Here is a 13,668-nt window from a genome sequence, read left to right on the forward strand (position 1 = left end):
TGTGAGTGCCTAAAGGGCAGGGACAGGGGCTGATGCATCTCTGTATTCCCAGGACCTTGCACCAGATCTGGCACCTCTCAAGCCCACAACAAAAATTTGTTGGATGAATAAATAAAATAAACAAACTTAATTAAGAAATACTGAATAAGTCAACTATTGAATAAAGAAGGAAATAAATAAATGAATGACTGAAGGAATGAATGAGCAAGCCCAGAATCTGACTGGGTCCCCCTCTTGTCTTCCAACCTCCCATGAAGCTCTCAGGAAGCCCATTTGCAGATGGCCCTCAGCTCCTTAGATTCCAGGAGAGCAGGCTGCCAAGCCCATGGATATGGAACTGTTAGCTCAGGAGGCAACAGCCTCACCGTGTAAAATCACAGTCTATTCTAGCCAAATTAACTAGGTAATACTCTGCATTGGTGTAAAATTCTCCATCAAACCATGAAGACTGGCGTTTAAAACATTTAAGACCCGAGAAGGGGAGGAGAGGGCAAGAGAGACCATTGCTTTTCCTGGCAAGTAATGGTGAAGGGTTTCCCAGCCTGGCTAAGCAGGGAGGAGCCCCACCTGGGATTCTCAAAGCCAGTGCCCGCTCCATGCCCCTGGCTGGGCCTCCTTGCCCAGAGCTCCTCACAAGGTCTTTCCATTCTTGGGGTCACTGACCCTACACTGGGCCCTCCTGTGGACATTTAGTTGGATGATGCTGAGGGCATCAGACAGAAGGAAGACTAAGCTGGAATCTCCCCAGGCAAACACACTATGGCATTTCCTGACACCCCACCCCCACCCCCAACCCTCCTTATGGGGAAGCCACCCCTGCACCGATTCCAGAGCACCCTTCATTTTTAGAACCCAGAAGATTCAGCACCTTACATTCCCAGTGGTCCCCGGGGCTCCCCCTAGTGGTCCCATAATTGAAGTGAACAGAGATTATCCCTGAGTCTTGGCTGGATGTTACAAAGAGCATCTTTTTCTGTCAATAACATTTATTGGGCACCTCCCACAGCCAGGTGCTAGGACTCTTGCGAGGGGTCACAGGCCTTGATTACAGGTAGCCTGTGAGCCTGCGGGGCAGTACCGTGTGTCTTTGCCTTTCTGGTGCCCACGATGGCATCGAGTCAGTGCTGGCAAACGCTGTAACAGATACTTGCATTCAGCAATGAAAAGTGAGTAACAGAAACAGTAATACAAGATACCTCCACGTACACCCATCAAACTAGCAACCACTCATCCCAACCCCTCGGGGTTTGGTTCTGGGGCCCCCCCGCAGGAGGGGGAGAAAAGGAGGCAGCCTCCCGGGGGATTATTCTGTGCTGAGGTAGCATACTGGCTGCTGTGCCCTGGGGAGCCAGCTCCCTGCATAAGTGCACAGATAGACAGATAGATCGTATTAAGCATACAACATTCAGGGGCTTCATTTGGAAAAGACACTGATTCTAAATGGCTGTTTGCCATTGACAAGGCACATCACCAAGGCTAACGCAGACAGCTCTGGGTTATCCAGCTTGTATTCCTGCCACCCCTCCATCCCCTGTGTGGGCACACACATGCACCCTAGGGCCCCACTTGCTCTAGCCTTGTGCCCAAGCTGATACTGCATTCCGGGCGGCAGACTGTCTTGGCAGAGACCAGATGCCAGCAGATCCCTCCCTGTCCCCTGGGGATCTCAGGCCCAGCTGTAGTAGCCAGGCAGCCTTGGGACCCTACAGTCTCCACCCATCCCCCACCCCCAGAGCTCATCAACACAACTCCCCATCTCCCTGTCCCCTCTCCCACCCCATCCTCCCTCTTTACTGCTTATGCCTGTGTAGGCAGGAGGCAAAGCGATGCGAATACATTAACATTTCCTTAATTCTATCTGTGCCTCCAAAACTCTGAGTCACAACTGGGTGGGTTTTCGTGCCTGGTGAACTGTCAGCCTCATTCAGAAATGCCATTTTCTACTTTGCTCCTGGATCAGCGAGAGGACAAGTGGCGGGTGGGGGGGCACGGGGATGGGAAGTGGCACACCCAACACTGACTGGCCCTTGACTGATGACAAGATTGAGGCCCCTGCGGTCCCTAGGAGAAGCTGTGTGAGTTTCTACTGAGAACCCTAGAACTTTGCCTTTGTATAGCAATGTTTACATTTTACAACATGCACTCACCTACCTTATTTTGTCATTTGTACATCCATTTCATATAAGTGAAAAGTGAAGTACAAAGATCTGAAATGCCTTGCCTGGATATGACACAGCTAATAATGACAGAGTCAAAGCTAATATTTTTATCTTCTGGGTCCAAGTTCATGCTACGCCTCCTGACCTCGCCGCTGCTGGAAAACTTCCAAAAATGTCACCTTTTCCCTGAAGTTTGAGAGTTCAAGTTTGACCTTGTCACAAGATTCATGCAAAGGAGACTTCAAACACAGATTTTTGGCCGGGAGTTGTTTTTCTTTTTTTCTCTTTTTCTTTTTTTTTTTCTTTTTTTTTTTTTCTGATGTGTTTCTGGATGTTTTAGGCAGAGCACAATTTCTCCAGCTGCTCACATGGTCCCCACCCCCTGCTGTGTTATAGGACCAGTTCCAGTTCACATGTGTCCATTTCCTGCCTGGATCTAGAATTTGAACTTCACACAAGGTTTCTGTCACCTAAGGCCAGTTCTCTATTCATACAAAGAAGGGGGGCACCAGTGGAGTGTGATCTCCATAATGCTGGCCAGCCCCCTTTGCTCAAAAATGACTCACTTTTAACACATATTAATCCTGTGTGCAAGGCAGTCAGTCTGTTCGGCACTGAGTAGATACAAAGACGAATAAGTGTGGCCTTTCCCTCCAGCAATGTAGTCGGACATGGAAAACACACACAATAATTATATCTAAGCCAATGGTGTGGCTACAAAAATGCCATAGAACCAGGACAGCCTAGGGTACTGGGGAAGAAAGGGGAACAGGATGAGACGGTGGGTGAATGATGCTGAAAGAAAAAGTGAGAGGATGCTAAAAAAAAATAAATAAATCAAGCTAACTTTATCTCCCGCTTGCCTCAAAGACCTGAGTGGCCAGGTATCCCTGCACTCAGCCATCCAGGACTCCTCCCTGGTCCAAGACCCTGCACACGTCTCTCCACACCTGCATATGCCCAGGGTTCTGATATCAAGATTTAGTGCCTCAGCCTTGCCAGCTCAAGGACTTGATCATGGTGGCTGAGTTCAGTTGAGGGTCTGCCCTCTCTGGCTTAGCATCAGGGAAACTGCAAGAAGCTGCCAGACTCCTGCCTGAACACAAGGAATGCTGGAACCTGAGCAGCCAGGGCCAGTGGGAAAGGAGGAGGGGCGGGAGTGGAGGTGCGGCCAGGATGAGGAAAACTCATGGGGTCAGTTGGCTTCTCAGAAACCCAAGAGCACAGGGAAAGTTCAGACCTGTCTAGAGCCTGCATGATATCCAGGGGTCCAATCCAGTAGGTGAGCCCCACAACAGGAATGTTATATAATAGGCATGTTTCCAGAACAGTATGTCTTAACCCACAGGTCTCTATGAACTGACAGGTATTTCAGAAGTAATGCATCCCAAATAATAAAAAATTAAAGTTTACAAATAACTTGTTTGATTAAATCAGCGTAAATTCAAATGTAACCATGGAAAAACATTTTTTCATTTATTCTTTGGCCGTTCGTTCATTTCACAAATACTAACCCCTGATTATGCAAGCTAAGCACTGTACCTCTCATTCTTAATCATTGTATTCCTAAGTGTACTCTTTTTTAACAGCTTTATTGAGATATAATTCAAATGCTACACAATTCACCCATTTAAGGCGTACGATTCAATGATTTTTTAATGTATTCCCAGAGTTATGCAACCATTACCACAGAAAATTTTAGAACATATTTATTCCAAAAAGCATCCCCACATCCTTTAGCTATCATCCCCTATCCTACCGCAGACCTAAGCAACAACTACTCCACTTCCTCTCTATATAGATTTCCCTGCTCTGGACTTTTCTATGAATGGAATCATATAGCATGTGGTCTTTTGTGACCTGGCTTCTTTCACTTAGCATGATGTTTTCAAGATTCTCCATGTTGTAGCATGTATCAGTACTTCATTCCTTTTTAAGACCAAATAATATCCCATTGTATGGATAGACTACATTTTGTTTACTTATTTTCCAGTTGATGGTCTAAATATATTCTTCAATGGTAAATAAAAGTGTTAAGAGACCGCTGCAGGGATCACTCATAACCCAGTCATGCCAGCAAAGTGTCCTGTATGTGCCTGGTATATCTATGTATGATGGTGAAACAAGTTGAGAAACCCCATTCCAAAGGCTGGCTGGGCACTTTCTGCACCAACCCACACCGTCGCGTGGCCATCGGCCTCTGGGGCCTATGGCTGGGCCTGCAGCCCGCAGGCTGTGTACCCTACCTTGATGTGTCAGGCTCAGAATCTGCTGCATAGACTCATGCAGTGTTATCGGACTCATGGTTATTCAAAGCACGCTCCTTCCACCGTCCTCTGGAGTTTCAGTAACTTCATCTTCAGATGTCTCATATGCACACACACTCACACTACCTCTTCACCCGATGACATTTCAAGGCCCCAACACTATCTCCTTTTCCTGTTCTTTGTCTCAAGACAGACAATGCTCTCTTTCCTCCTTGCATGTATTATACCCCTTTCTCATCTAGAGAGGAGCTGATAAACTCATTTCCCTTAGTGTGCTAGTGCCCAATAACAGCCTAGTGTGCCCCATCTGGAGTCCCTTCTGGTCAAATCTCAGGCTCTTTTAGCTATAGGAAGATGGTATTTGGGAGGAAACTTAGATTAGGATTCTCTACTCCCACTTGGTTTTAGAGATTAGAAGGCTGAAGCCCAAGGATGAAGAGAAATTTTCCCAAGGACTGATTAATGGTTGTATCAGTTAGCTATTGCTGCTTAACAAACCACCCTCAGAACTTAGTGCCATAAAGTAACAAACATTTACTTAGCTTGCAGTTTGTGGGTTCGAAATTTAAGCTGGGTTCAGCTGGGATCTATCATTTAATCTGTGGCTCCCTGAAGGTCAGCTAGGTGGCTCTGCTTCTGGGCATCGGCTAGCATCAACTGGGCAATGGGGGCAACTGGGCCACACGTCTGGCACCAACTCATCCAGCAGGCTGGTCTGGGTAGTAGCAGGGTTCTCAGAGAGTGAACTCGGAAAGTCTCAAGCAAGACTTTCCAGGCTTGGAGCTGGCATATCGTCACTTCTTATGCATGCTATTGGCCAAAGCAAGTCACAGGACAGCCCAGATTCAGAGGCTGGAAATAGACTTTACCTGTTGATGAAAAGAGCTGTAAACTCACATTGTAAAGAGTAGGGACATGAAGAGAAGTGATATTGTGGCCGCTTTTTGCTATCTTGAGCTAGGACTGGAGCCCAAGTCTCCTGACTCTATTCTGAGGGTGCAGCACCCACTTCTGATTCTATCTGCCCAACCTTACCTGTTGCCCGTTCCAGGCCCCTCCCCTACAACTCAGCAAAATTATGTTTGCCAGAAGAGAAAAAAACAAATCCAGCATAGGCAGTGGGTCAAGCTCTTGTGTGTCTTTTATGTAATCCAGAGAAACAGGAGGAGCACAACTTCCATGCAGCTATACCAACATCCCTCCCTGCGGCTCCCCTCACCCACAATTCCCACTTCCTGTAGGACAGAGGCCAAGAGAAGTTCCCCTCCGCCTCCCCTCCGCAAAGGCTCAGATCCCAGATCCCCTTTTTTTTTTTTTCATCTATCCCACATTACTACAAGCTTTCCACTGCTCCACAGTCCTGGAAGAGGAGACAACAGCCAATTTTCCAGCACTGAATAAGATAGCCCCTGGAGTCACTTTTGAAACACCACCAATGTGTTATGCCAACTTCTTTTCTGGGGGAGAACAAAAGCTATTTTTCTCTCTTTTCTTCCCCTGATGGAGAGAAGCAAGACCCCCTTTTGAATTCAACTTTCTCTTCTCTGGCATAAAAAAAAAATTTAAAAACAAATCTGTCAAAATTCCCACCCTGCCTTCCTAGTTACATTTTTTAATTCAGTTGGCTCCATGTGGGGGAGTCTTCTATTAATAGGTATACCAGGAGGCTTAGCAACTCAGGCAGAAGAGTACCTAGGAGAAAGCTGGAGAGGGCTGACACCGGAACAGTGAGCAGGAATCAAACCGGGCTTAATTAGGAAAACATGCCTTCCCTATTAACGTCCCTGTCCGTGTGATGCTGCCGCTAGAAAAAAAAAATGCCAAGAAGCTTATTTGTTTTGCAATTACGGATGAAATAAAAAATTACTTGGTCTAATTAGACCTCTTTTACTAAAAGAAGCGTGTAAAATAACCTCAGTTTCATTAGCAACTCAAAATATACTACTCGGTGTGCTACATATGTTTAAGTGAAATGTGGAGGGTCAATTTGCTATGTAAATTTCCACAAATTTGGCTAAACTAAAACGATTAACCTAATGTGTATGCAAATTAACTTAATTGATAACGACTTTTCTCCAGGAGCTTTAAAAGAGGGGGAAATATATTCCAATTCTAACAATCCTCCAAAGTGTTCCATCACCCAATAACAAAATGATATCTTGACAAATTAAAGAGAATATAATGAAATCAGATTAATTAATGCCAAGACCAATTAGCATATGCAAAGAAACAAATCTCACTAATAGACAAATCCAGCAATTTGAATGAGATTTTTGAAAGCTTTTCCTATTTGTCAATTTGTGTGTGTGTGTGTGTGTGTGTGTGTGTGTGTGTGTGTGTGTGCGCGAGCGCGTAATTCCATCTTTGAAATGTTGTTCCCTTTTGTTTAGGATCTAGAATGTCAGACCTGGAAGGGTCCCTATAGTCTGAAACCCCCTACTTCAACTGATTAAGAAACTGAGCCTCAAAAAAAGGTGAATTTATCTGGCAAGGTGCCACTGACACCCTGGCAGCACAGCCCTTTCGTAGCACCCTGCCTGCCAGCAACACCCACTGATGCCTGGAGGCGGGGAAAGCATTCTTGAAGGCCCTTTCAGCTCTGGGACTACCTGATCCTATAGTCTACATTGGAATGTTTACCATATTAGAATGCCGTCTACATTAGAATATACCTATATATTTAAGAATTGAAGGGATTTTCATCTTGAGTCTCTTTTCCTTGACTCGGGCCACATTTTTCACACCAAAAGCAATCAGCAAAGCAAGCGGCAGAGCCTCAGCTCCCGAGGAGAGTCGTTTTCCCAACCCTGCTCCACATTGGACTCCCCTTGAGCTCCTATGCAGTTAGCGGTGAATTCTCCAGGCTAATCACTGGGCTGTGAGAGTTTCAGCCCACCTGTGCTCACCCCCTCCACCCTCAGCTAAGGACTCTGGGCTAACAGGCAGAGCTCTGACTTGGGTTTTTATTTTTATTTATTTTTTCTTGTTATTCCAGATGGTTGCTGAGAGACTGAAGTCTCGGTTGCTTCCAGTGGGACCCTCAGACAATGGCAACTGGAAGGAGAGGCAACCCTGGATGGCACTTGGGCAGCAGAGAGCAGTCAGACCCCAGCGATGGCAGCAGAGGCAATAGGAACAACACAAACAGAGCCCACTGGACTCATTCCATGGACTCTGGCCTGGGGGTTGCCTCTTTTAGGCCTTTAGGTGCAGCTCTTGCCTGGATCTAAACAGGACTATAGTATGGAAAGCTGGAAGAATAAGAGCAGGAGAAACAGACTCTGCTTGGGGAGTCAGGAGACAGACCTCCAGGCCACTGACCTTGGCCAAGCCATTTCTCCTCTCTGGCTCTTAGTTTTCTCATCTGTAAAACCACGAAATGAGGATATAAGCTAATAATCCTTTCTGGCTCCGTCTCTTAAGTCTCAGCCTTCTGGGTATAGTTTTAGCCTCTAGAATAGCATCGACCCCATGGAGTTGAAAGGGTTAATGAATAAATACATGTGAAGTGCTTAGAATGGTACGTGCCACTTAGTAAGTGGTCAATAAATATTAGCCCATAGTTTTTATCCTGTCAGGCGGTCCTTCACCCCCTCTTAAACACTTCAGTGGTATAGAAGGCGACAACAATGGTATGTGGATAAATGTTTACCAACCGGTCGAGTGAGGGTGGGTCTCTGCTTTGCAGTGTTTGCCGATTACCATGGTGTAAATAATCCCACTATGGCTTGTTTGAAACTGCCAACATGAAGTAAAACAGCTCATGAAATTCCTGAAAATGTAACAACTGGTTTTTGAAAACCAGGGCTAGCCAGCTCCAGAGTGCCACTGACATGCAACACCCTTCCATTCTCCATTCTCATTCTATTTAAACAAATGTCTCACTGTTGCACCTCTTGCATATAGAGAGAGACTAGATGCTAATTAAATATAAAGTACTTGTGACTATCCTCCCACATAACACTCTTTTGGGACACCACAAATTTCTTCCCCATCTACCCACTCCCACCTCCTTCCCCCAGCCCTTCAAGCAGAACAGTCTGTGTATACTTTGGAAACATAAACTCACATTATCATTAATCTAAGCCAAGCATCATTGAGAAAGTAAATCTGCTGCAAAGGAACATTTATTCATGTTTAAATTTTGATGATGTGTATATTAATCACTGATGGGCATTACCCCCTTCATGTACCCTTTAGCGTGCCAACTTGTCCTCATTCTCTCTGTCCTCTGCTTTGACCCCAGCCTCCATTCTGATGGCCATGGCCTATCTTGGGATTGCTTTACCTACATCCTGAACTTGACATTCCTCCTGCTCTCAGAAAGTTGGTTATTTACCGACTGAAAATGGAGAGTGAAAAGAAGAAAAATAAAACACCTTTCCCAGTGGAGCCCATAAAAGGCTCATGAAGTCATAAAGACAATTACTGGCAGGCCTATATGGAATACCCTCCGTGAGTCATCTGTCTTCTGCTGGCAATAAAGGCACATAGCAAATTAACCATGAGGGAGGCCCGCTCACTTACCCTGTAATTAGACGGAGCTGCAAGATGCTTCCTTTCAAACTTCACGTGGGAGGATCTGTTTTGGCTCCAGGAGGACCTGCCTGCTAGCCCAGCCAGGCCTGGGCTCTTCCTTTGGCTACTGCCCCTACAGCGCTGAGCCTGGAGCTATGAGACAGTGACAAGGCAGCAGCAGCAACACAGTCCCGCCCCTCAAGGCCCATGCGGTCTGTTTAGAGAGGTAGGCAGTGCATAAAGAAGCAGAGGTGATCATAAGGTTCTCAGACTAGCAGAGAGGCCTTTCTTTCCCACTTCATCTTTCACCACTTGCTGTCATGCACTCTGTGCTCTAGCCACATTGAACAGGCTCTTTCTCAAGTTCCTCATCTGCCTTCTGGCCTCCATACCTTTGCACATGCTGTTCCCTCTGCCTGGAATGTTCCTATCCCTACAAGATCTTGACTTGCAGAGACATAGTGCAAATTACATTTGCACTAAGCAATGTAAATAAAATGACACCTTCCTGACAAGTCTCTAAGAAGATTAACTAGCTTCCCTCTCCCTGCAAAACTTTGTGCAAAATTTCTACTTAGCACTTATCACATTGATTCTAAACACTTGTCTCACAATCTTTTTCCTCTGGATTTCGACTTTGAGGCAGGGCAAAGATTAACTCATCATGGAATTCCATTCCCCATCCCACCTCCATGTCTAGCGTCTAGCTCTGTGTACTTATAAAGTAAGTTCTCAATAAATATGAGTTGGAGGAATAAAATACAAAGAAATAGAATCTAAATCTAGTATAATCTGGATCTGCGATGAATTCAGAAGGAGTAAGGGCTGGATGTAGCTCCTTAACCAAGTCTCAGTCCCAGGGAAGGTAATGGAATTCCAGGACTGATCCCCCTGCATTTGGCAGGGGCAGTTCCCATCCCTTCCCCAGAGGAGATGAGAAGGGGTCAGGGTGACAAAGCCCGGTGTGTCAGAACATCGCTTGAGAGGTTTAGCTCCTGGAGAGCAGTTAGGCATGTAAATTAGCACCGGCCCACAGGCCCTATGCTGAAAATAAATCTGCTGGAACCAAGATCAATCAATGGTTAAAAATAAAAGTTGAGGCAGTGCTAATTCTGTGTTTTCCTGAGCCCAGTGCGTAGGCAGCCAGAAACTTCTTTCCCAGGACACTGTTGAGTGAGCAAAGGGCAAGAGATCATGGGAAAAATTAGACAGCTTACAAGTCTATGCCTGGGATCTGAATCAGTGGCCCCTTTGGGGCAGGGAGGAGTGGATAGAAGAGCTGCATCAGATGCAAGATGCCAGATGAGGATTTTCACGCTGGGGAAAATCATCCTTTTGAAATTCCTGTTACCAAAGCCTGTCCCAAGCTTCCTACAGGACGAGGGAGGAAATCAGAGCAGGGCCTTTCAGTTATGCAATACATATTTATTGATTTATTTATTTAGAGACAGGGTCTCACTATGGTGCCCAGTCTGGAGTGCAGTGGCTATTCACAGGTGCAAACATAGTGCACTGCATCTCTGAACTCCTGGGCTCAAGTGATCCTCCTGTCTCAGCCTCCCTATAGGCACCTACCACCATGCGCAGCTTATTAATTGAGTGTCTACCATGTGTCAGGCACTGCTTCAGATGATAAAGATCCGGTGATGAACAAAATAGTACCAGCCTTCACGGAGCTTCCAGTCCAGGAGTGAACACGGGGAGGCCGGATACACAGTAATTAACGATAATTAATCATTAATTAATGATAATTAACGATTTGCCATGAGAATATACGATAGGGTCCTACCCAAGTCTGAGAGGTCAGAGAAAGCTACCATGAGGAAGTAACATGTGCATTGAGACCAGTAGGATGAGTAGCAGTTTACCCAGTCAGAACAGGAAGACTGTTCCAAGGAGAGCGAGCTACCAGTGCAAAAAGGCCCAGCAGCAGCAAGAAGCTGCCAAAGGAATCCAGCATGGGTACCAGGTGAGTGAGAGAGGAGACTGATGTTTGCTGAAACTTGGCAGCTAGCACATCACCTGTAGGTCACATTGAGGATTTGGACTTCTCTCTGGGCTCAGATGTTTCAGGATGGCTGTGTGTACTTGCCCACTGCAGGTTGCCCACTGCAAGGGTGCTGGGCCCAGGGGATGCGAGGGGGCATAAGTTCCACCTACTTGGCACTCACCAAGCAGCACATCCTGGCACAGGGCTTCATCCCCCAAGAGAGGGCACCTTTTCACATTTCACAAAGGCAACATCTGCTGGCCAAGCCCATAGCACTGTGACCATCCAGTGACAGCATTATTTCAAGTTCCCACTGAGGTGCCTTTGGCACCTGATGAGTATGTGAGACTAGACAATCTCTGAGGCTCCTCCAGCTCTTGCCACCTCTAAGCCCTTGAAAGAAGCAAGCAATTGTATCATAGTGGGGGAGCTGAGGAAATAGACCCAAAGCCAGAATAGCCTTCCATCTCTTCAGTGTTCTATCTGGACCACCAAGCAGTCTGCAGCTCCAATAGCTCCCTCGCCCCTCCTGAACTCAATGGAGGGGACAGATTGGATGGGGTCTGGGATGTGAACATGGTGTCGGAGCAGGCTGGCTGTGGATGCCATCGTTAGGGCTGCCTTGGGCAGACAGCCTCTGTGGTCTTGCTGGCTCAGTGCTCCATGCTGTCATTTCTTTCAGAGGACTGCCCAGGGAAGTAGAGCCCCCAGGGAGGAGGCATTGTTTGCACAAAGTATCTGTCATTGCCTGAGGCCTGCAGCTCACCTGGACTCAGTCCCCTGCTGGCTGGGGGTTGTATTCCCTGTGCTGGGAGGGAAGGAGGACACTGTCAGATCCCATCCATCAGGATAGGCACTGCAGGCACAAGTGGCCCAGGGCTCTGCCTCCAGCCCATGCGCTAAGAGAGGAAAGGCGGCTTCTTTTCCCCTGTTCCACAGGCTTGCAACGGCCACAGCCCAATGCCAGCCTCTCTCCCCATCCCTATCACACCCCTGGCAACCCATTGCCAAGCTCAAACTTCCAAGCCTACATTGGCAGGCTAAGCATATCAAAACTGCCATCCTAATTTGGTTGTTGGCGCCACAATAATAATAACAGTTTGTATGTATTGACTCTACCAGGTGGGGCAGTGGACCAGGTGTACAAAGGTGGAGATGCATCCATGAACAGACACAGGCTCGCCCCTGTGGCGTTATTGAAAAACTCTGGGCATTTGGCAACTATGTAACAGGTTGAGCTTCAGTTTCCTCATCTGTGAAAAAAAGAGGTAGTAATTATATTGCAAGGGATTGTGGGTTGGGGGGAGCAAATGAGATAAACATGGAAATAATAGGGTTTCTAGTACAAAATCAATCCTCGATAAATGTTAACTATTACTATTAGCTCCTATTTCGTGAGCATCCCTGGTGTACCAGGCACTGTGCCATAGGATTTACAGACATTATGCCATTCAGTGCTTACCACATCCAGACGAGGTATATAGTATCATCCCATTTCACACTGGTAGGGAGGAAAGCACAGTGAGTGGGATATAAAGCCAGGCCAGTGTGACTTCAAGCCATTAAACTAGAGGCTGGGTGGGGTGGCTCTCACTTGTAATCTCAGCACTTTAGGAGGCACACGGGGGAGAATTGCTTGAAGCCAGAAGTCCAAGACAAGCCTGGGCAATGTAGTGAGACCTCAGTCTCTAATTTAAATAAATACATAAATAACTGTACTGCCCACTAGGTCTGGGACTCGGGGCCCCTCATCTCTTCCTATGGAAGCATTTCTTCACCCAAGTTCTCTCATCAGCCCATGAGAGAGGGCGCTCGGGAGTGAGGAAAAGGAGACCAATGCAACCGATATCTAGGGCAAGAGCTGTTACTCTGAAATGTTTTTAGTCAACCTGGATGCTCACATTGTCTACACCTGAACAAAGGAAAAGACGGTGGGAAGTCTGGAGGTGGAAAGTAAGTGGGATTCAGAGTCTAAAGTCCTGTATCCCTACCTATTAGCCATGTAACCTTGAGCAAGATAAGGAACATCTCCAGAACTCACTTTCCTCACCTGTAAAATGGGCTGACACCACAATTGCCTTCTCAGAGCTGCTCTGAGGATGAACTGAGATGCTGCCTGTGAAAGTGAGCTGCTCCACTATAAAGCGATATTCAGTTGTGAGGAATTGTTATTTATTAAAGGGCACTTGCTTAGAAGACACACATTAAGTTGTGAGAGGACCTCAGTTTAATTCAACACACGAACATGAGGACTGAGCACCTGCTGTAGTGAAGACATATATTCAGATTCAGAAAGGAGATCATGAAAAGGCATGCAATGGCTTATCGCATGCTATGGGACTCACAGGACCAGGTTCAGCGTGGAGGCAGTATTTCTTCCAGAGGCATCTGCACCAAACTTTCAAGAAGAGGATGGGCAGGATGTTGATGGGCAGCACGGTGCAGGAGAGTGTTCTGGGAAGAATACAGATTGAGCAAAACAGAGGCAGAGAAACCAGGACTGGGCAGAGTTCCAGGTGGCTGGAGCGCAGCCACCTTATACTGGAGAGGCTGTGAAGCTAGTACAATTGTTATCCCCATTTGACAGATGAAGAAACTGAGGTATGCAGCAGTTGCAGAAGTCACAAAGCAAGTAAGCAGTGTGGCAGTTGGCCAGGAATCTGGCTCCAGAGTCCACACTCTTGACTACATAGGGCCCAATCTCAGACCATGGCTACAGGAAGAAGATGAGAAA

At 46.6% G+C, this 13,668-nt stretch overlaps 2 annotated features.

Moving 5' to 3' along the window:
- Positions 11,178-11,679: an enhancer, noted in NCBI's record as "NANOG-H3K4me1 hESC enhancer chr11:116105565-116106066 (GRCh37/hg19 assembly coordinates)". NCBI's record gives its function as "activates a minimal SCP1, AML or CMV promoter by ChIP-STARR-seq in naive H9 embryonic stem cells {active_cell/tissue: H9 hESC(naive)}" and the evidence as "EXISTENCE:reporter gene assay evidence [ECO:0000049][PMID:30033119]".
- Positions 11,680-12,179: an enhancer, noted in NCBI's record as "NANOG-H3K4me1 hESC enhancer chr11:116106067-116106566 (GRCh37/hg19 assembly coordinates)". NCBI's record gives its function as "activates a minimal SCP1, AML or CMV promoter by ChIP-STARR-seq in naive H9 embryonic stem cells {active_cell/tissue: H9 hESC(naive)}" and the evidence as "EXISTENCE:reporter gene assay evidence [ECO:0000049][PMID:30033119]".

Source organism: Homo sapiens, chromosome 11 (assembly GCF_000001405.40).
Source record: "Homo sapiens chromosome 11, GRCh38.p14 Primary Assembly".
Classification (NCBI taxonomy): domain Eukaryota; kingdom Metazoa; phylum Chordata; class Mammalia; order Primates; family Hominidae; genus Homo; species Homo sapiens.